At 39.5% G+C, this 6,823-nt stretch overlaps 1 protein-coding gene across 7 annotated transcripts in view, besides 1 other annotated feature; it reads left to right on the forward strand.

The window, feature by feature from the left end:
* TTC39C (tetratricopeptide repeat domain 39C) overlaps window positions 1–3,386 on the forward strand; it is a 142,714-nt gene extending 139,328 nt beyond the window's left edge. For all 7 annotated transcript variants that reach the window (NM_153211.4, XM_047437297.1, XM_047437298.1 and 4 more), the window contains one exon: window positions 271–3,386. In NM_153211.4, coding sequence (NP_694943.2) covers window positions 271–360 — 90 coding nt within the window. In that variant the 3' untranslated portion in view covers window positions 361–3,386. The remainder of the gene's footprint in view (window positions 1–270) is intronic.
* Window positions 6,433–6,492: an enhancer, noted in NCBI's record as "active region_13171". NCBI's record gives its function as "activates an Ori minimal core promoter by ATAC-STARR-seq in GM12878 lymphoblastoid cells {active_cell/tissue: GM12878}" and the evidence as "EXISTENCE:reporter gene assay evidence [ECO:0000049][PMID:35858748]".

The raw sequence follows: 6,823 nt of genomic DNA on the forward strand, positions 1-6,823 counted from the left end.
CTTATATTGAGCACAACATAAGACTACTTTTTCAAGAATAACTCGAGGAAAATTGTCCAAAGAGAACCTTATTGACATTCAGTTGACGTTTTTAAAAATGAATACAAAGTTTGAGGTTTGAGTAATATGAAAATCAAGTGGATGGGAAACCTTTACTGGGAGTGTAGAGATTTTACTTTGGGAAATGCAAAATTGAGTGTGCTTTATACCACAGTACCCTGTGCAAGCTTAGCTAACAGAGTGCATAAATATCTTTCTTTGATCTTACAGGAGGATTTCTCTGGCTACGACTTTGAAAACAGATTGCATGTCCGCATCCATGCTGCTCTGGCCTCTCTGAGGGAATTGGTTCCTCAGTGACAGACCCGGAACACCCGCTCCGTCCCTCCCCACCCAGGGTCCGCACTTTAAAATAAAAGCAGAGGACAAAGCTCTTGTGAAGATGGGCTTTTCTTCTGAAAACCACCTGTGCCAGGGACACATTTTCCCAGTTAAGCTGACATATTAAAGATCTCCTCTTTTAAACATGTAGCTGAAAAGTAATAATGATGTTGAGGAGGATGATGATGGTAATAATAACTAACCACCTGGGGAGAGGGTTAAGTGACCTTGCTCAAACGTTTTAGTTTTGTGATTTATTATTTTTAAAATAAAATCAAACGGAACATCCAACCCAAGATCCTGTAGGAACACCTACCTTAAGCACATATCTGAATGGGTAACATGATGAGGTACCTGTAAAATTATTAACAATATCATGACATAGCATTTATATTTGTGTTTTGAAAAAATAAAAGTGCTTTCTAGTGTTTTACTTTATCCTCAAAATACTCCAGTGAATAACATAGCACAGATATTCTTAACCCCACTTTGCAGACAGTGAAACTCAGGCACAAAAAGGCAAATTGACTTATCCCAATTAATTATTCCTGTTATCAGCAGAGCAATGAATAGAAAGCAGATCTCCTGACCACCAACTGACTTTTATTGTAAAAATAATTCATGTTAATAGGCCAGAATTCCATGTTTTACTTATTAAAAGAACAAAATCTTCAGCTGAAGTTATGTCACCAGAAATAGTCATCTCCAGATTGTCTACAGAATGTTTCAAAGCGATGGACACTCTTTTTCCTTTGAAAGCCAACCAAGTAAGAGCAAATATTAATAGAAGATAATTTTACAACTAAAAGTGTGACTCTTTTGCTAATCTATTAGCCTAGTCTATAGATTAGACAAACAGTATCTACATTTTAGGAGTTTACCTTTCTTTGTGAAAATTGTCAAATTACCAACTTTTGGAAATCTTTTGACACATTACTTGAAAAGGTTATTCGTGAATGAACATAGATTTTGGCCTCAAAATATTTGCTGGTGGAACATTTGCTGGGCTACACAGTGCCAGGATTTAATCATTTTCCCCTTAGCTCAGGTTATTTAGATATTATACAAGGAATTCAAAGTTATTTTTTTATTCTTCATTGCTAATTTTTGTCATTTAATTTACCTCCATGCCCGGTACTGCAAACCTGTGGTTTTGAAGAATCTAAATACCTCAGTCACTTTTAAGAATCTCTGCCATAATTTGGCTCAATGTTTAAGGTTAGATTTTTAAAGAAATTTTTATTGAGCTAAAGGATATCATTTTAGGGTATCGTTTATTTACAAATTCTTTTGGCTGAAACATGATCTCATATTAATATTTTAATATTTCTTTTCAAAATAAAACAGAAAAGCAAGTAGAATGTTGGCAAATTTTATCTGATTTGACCTTGTTTTGAGGGAATAGTCATAATTTCTTTGAAAGAAGTTATTTCTCACTGATTTTGGCTAAACAGTATTCATATTTCTTCATCTCTGTTACTGACCACTTTTCAGTAGACTGTTTCCAAAATGTGTATTCACATTGACTTTCTCCCTGATGTGAATTCCGTGTGGGTTTTAGATAATAGTAAGAGAGAAGAGATTGCTCTCCTATATTCAGTGAATGAGAAGGGAACTTTTTTCTGAAGAGCAAAATTGGTGCCCAAAAATATTGGACATCTGTTTTTTGTTTTTTTTTTTTTTTTTTTTTTTTTTTGAGACGGAGTCTCGCTCTGTCACCCAGGCTGGAGTGCAGTGGCGTGATCTTGGCTCACTGCAACCTCTGCCTCCTGGGTTCACACCATTCTCCTGCCTCAGCCTCCCAAGTAGCTGGGACTACAGGCACCCGCAACCACACCCGGCTAATTTTTTTTGTATTTTTAGTAGAGATGGGGTTTCACCATGTTAGCCAGGATTGTCTCCATCTCCTGACCTCGTGATCCACCCGCCTTGGCCTCCCAAAGAGCTGGGATTACTGGTGTGAGCCACCGTGCCCGGCCTGGACATCTGGTTTTAACTAGATGGAAGGGAAGAACATTATGAATCTTTAAAATACGGCTGTTGCCATTTTTCTCTCTTCTTAACATGCAGCATAGGTGACAAGCTTTTCTGTCATCATCATGGAGCATTCTGAATCATGACATTTTTGTTTGAGAGTTCATTCTTGAATTTTCAGTTCAAAATATTGTTTGAACTATTATTCCACATTCAAAGATTATATAAGGTCCTGTGCTTTTGAATCTTTTTCAAAACATTTATTTCTGCCTGCTTAAAAAAAATACTTTTATTTCCCCACAGAGAGTTCAGGACTTCAGATTAGTTTGTGTTCAGCTCACTTAACTGGATAGACAATTTTGCGTTTTGCAACACCATCCTGTAGGTTTTCTTTACTAGTCAAAGTGTAGGTCTTTTTAAAATTTTTAATCTTTATTTTTATTTTTATTTTGAAACAGAGTCTCACTCTGTTGCCCAGGCTGGAGTGCAGTGGTGTGATCTGTGCTCACTGCAACCTCTGTCACCCGGGTTTAAGCGATTCTTCTGCCTGAGCCTCCCAAGTAGCTGGGATTACAAGTTCCTGCCACCGTGCCTGGCTAATTTTTGCAGTTTTAGTAGAGGCAGGGTTCCACCACCTTGGCCAGGCTGGTCTTGAACTCCTGACCTCATGATCCACCCACCTTGTCCTCTCAAAATGCTTACAGGCATGAACCACTGTGACCGGCCAGGTCTTTTTTTTTTTAAAGAGTCTATCCTAGGCTTGGTACAGATGGCGCCTGTGGTAAATCTGTGTTAACATGGTGGTAGACCATGGAGAATGGGTAGATGGAGCTTCTAGACTCCAAAACAACAAAACCACAGTGTGAGTACACTGTCCCATTAGGTTGACTGAAGTCTGAGTACATTTTCTGGCCTGCGTGCCGTGACTTATCCAACCTGTGAACTGATTGTGATCTGCTTGGTAACTTGGTTTGGTGTAAACTGCTCTTAACCCTTTGCTGATGAAGAAAATAATCATATAAGTGGAACTATTTGCATCTATGTGTGCTTCTTTTTTTATGTTGTCATCACTCATTCCTTCCCCTGTCCTATTTTGGAGGCTCTCAATGGATCTTCTAACTTATAAATGTCAAATATATTTTTGTATTAGATTGTGCCTATGATGAGAGAAATCTTTAATGTATATTTTATGTATGCTGAACACATTTTTATAATTTGACACACTTGGAGGCATGGTCTAGTAATAATAATGTAATATGTACCTTGCTGGTTAATATAACTAAGATTTTGCCTTTATTGGGTTAGGTATCTTTTTTTTATTTTAGCACCTGATAGCTGTCTTCTACTGAGTAAAGAATTATAACTTTTAGATGTCACAGAAAATTAGAGTATTTATTGTCACATATTGTGTAAGTCAATTATTTACTGAATTTGCACTTTTCTGTCTCTGCCAACTAAAGTTAAAGGACAAGTCATATCTGATTTTTAAAATGAGCACATGCACAGGCATGCACACACACACACACACACACGCAGACACACACCTTTGCTGTGTAAACTTTTCCAGTGGATTTCTTCCTTAAGCAAATCATGGTGGCAAGTATTCAAATACGGTTTTCACTATGAAGATACACATTCACAAAATCATGATGTACTGTTTTGGTTTCTGCAGATGGTATATTTTGTAGAAAGAAAATTGTTAAATCGAGATCATCCAAGAAGATACATAGTCGAGGCAGATACTTTAGAAGCTAGAAGAGGAAATGCAGAAAGAGAGAAGGATAAGGGGAGCAAGAGAAAGTTGGTCCATAACAGATAATGCTCCTTTTTCAGTAAAGTATGCAGAAATCACCAAGAGCACAATTTAACTGGCTTTCTTGTGAAAGCTAGCAAGGGGGCTGATCTCTGTCACCTAGTTGACTTGGGTATGAAATAGAAGCAACACACTTGAAACCCAGGTGACCTCTATGTAATGCCTAATTCCTCCTCCCAGAGGCCAGTGGTTGTCAATTTCCGTGTTTTACATAGAGATTCTGGTTTGGTAGGTTCTAGGTAGGGCTTGGGAAGGCATTTTTAACAAGCTCCTGGGATGATTTCTTATGCAGGTGATGTGGATTAGAGAAACATTGCCCTATTCATCTTTTGTTAAGGATTTGGTAAATCTGGGAGAAGAGTCAAACACAAGCAGAATTATATAGAATTATATAGCAAGGATAAGTCATAGAGCATACATCATGGGGCCACTGAGAAAATGCTTCTAACCCACTGGCTTCCTAAAGTAGGAGATTTCTGAGATGAGTTCTAAAGGAGAAGCAGGATGCAGTCAGGTGAAAACACTTGCTGGAGCAGCATCCAAGGCCTTGGACCTAATGAGCAAAAGCACAGAGGTGATAAGCGACATGTGTGTTCAAGACTCTGGAGGGTCAAGTGGGAATCACATGGTGAGACATGAAATACGAGAGGTATGCAGAGGCCACACCCACAACCATGGACTTCCATAGGGTAAGGATTTGGGGTGTGGGAGAGGGGCAGTGGAAGGTACATTTGCGTTTTAAATCATTGGTGACCAAAAAATAACATACTGGTGATTGAAAGGGAGATGAACACAAGCCAAGATTGTGAAACCACATCAAATCATTAAGAGTTCAAGAAATCAAAGCAGCGATGGGCAGTGGTTTGAAAATTCTTGGTTAGATGTTTACATTGTAACAATTTGCATTTCAGAATGACTCAGCCAAACAGTCACTGAAGAAATGGAGAGTAAAATCTTGTTTTTTGAGTTACAGGTATTTCTGCATAATACCTTACACCTAATAGATGTTTGAGATGACCCACCAAGGTTACGTTAAAAAAACCATAAATGTCTCCAATTCCAAAAGACACCATAGATGAGGTACTTAGGATTTTCAGTAGCTCAGTTCATTATGTCTCTGACACCTAAATGTGTTATAAACCAAGCTATCAGAAATCATGACAGCCTCATCTCACTTTTATTTACATTACCAAAGTGGTGCTGGAGGCAAGTGATGAAGGATGAAAAATATCTGCAGACCCACCAACATACTCAGTCTAAAAGCATTTCTCCCTTTTTTTTGTTTTGTTTTGTGAGACGGAGTCTCGCTAATTCTCCCTTTTTAAGTATGTAAACTTCCCGAGAAGAGGGAGCTTTCCTGGCACTCAGTAAAATAATTATTAAGTGGATTAATGAATGGCACCAGATAATGCTGACTGAGGCCTTAACATTGCTTTTATTGCAAAGTGCTCTGGAAGCCCTAATTTTTTCTGAATTAAAAAATAGGGTTTTGTTTTATTTTGGTTTGGTTTTTGTTTTGTTTTGTTTTGTTTTTGGTCAGATATCTGCCCTGGCGATGCTCTTTGGTTTAAAGTAGTTGCTTTTTAAACATTTGAAGATGGATCAAAATTAAGGCTGCTTGTACTCTGATAATCATGATTATGGTGTTATTTAGAGCCCAGCCCAAATACCTGAGCCTAAATGAGTGAAAGAGCAGAGAGTGGGCGTTTTTTTGTTTTTTTTGTTTTGTTTTTTGTTTTTTTGAGACGGAGTCTCGCTCAGTAGCCCAGGCTGGAGTGCAGTGGTGTGATCTGGGCTCACTGCAACCTCCGCCTCCCAGGTTCAAGCAATTCTCTGCCTCAACCTCCAGAGTAGCTGGGATTACAGGCACCCACCACCACGACCGGCTAATATTTTGTATTTTTAGTAGAGACAGGGTTTCACCATCTTGGCCAGGCTGGTCTTGAACTCCTGACCTCGTGATCCACCCGCCTCGGCCTCCGAAAGTGCTGGGATTACAGGCGTGAGCCACCGTGCCCGGCAGAGTGGGCGTTTTTAAATGAAGCAGTATTCCTTTAGTTTGGTAAAATTGAGCTGAAGTTACACACAGTAACACCTTGACTTGTTGCTGACGGTGTGCTTTGTGGGGATAGTTGGTGTCTGATCTCAACTGTGGAGAAACAGGAAGTTTCTGGATTCATGCTGAACTCCCATTCCACAGGCGAGTTTCACAAAAGAAAAAGTGCTCTGTTGCATACAATTATTCACTGTGTGTCTACAACGTGGCAGAAATTATTATTCCTAAAGGTGACCGAAGAGAGCTATAGTTTATGGGGCCAGGAGCAATGTGTGGAATGGCGAGGCAGTGACAAGACAGCACTGCCATAAATCTCTTACTTTCTTTCCAAACGAGCTCTAATTTTAAGCTCAACGACCAAAGACGGAGAGGCAGTCGCTTTGAGCTACTCCTGGCTATTTGTTGGGAAATCACCTAAATCCGTTCAGATTTAGCCAGAAAAGGGGAAATAAGTCTCCCTCGCCGGCCAAATCATGGCCTTTGTCGCTTTCGGCTCCCCATTGGCTGCGGCCGCTGTGGCCCCGCCTCCTTGAGTGGTGCGGAGCTTTGTGATGCGGAGCTTCGTGATGCACGCCCCGATGCCTGCGGGGCTATAAAAA

The sequence above is a fragment of the Homo sapiens genome, chromosome 18, assembly GCF_000001405.40.
Source record: "Homo sapiens chromosome 18, GRCh38.p14 Primary Assembly".
NCBI lineage: Eukaryota > Metazoa > Chordata > Mammalia > Primates > Hominidae > Homo > Homo sapiens.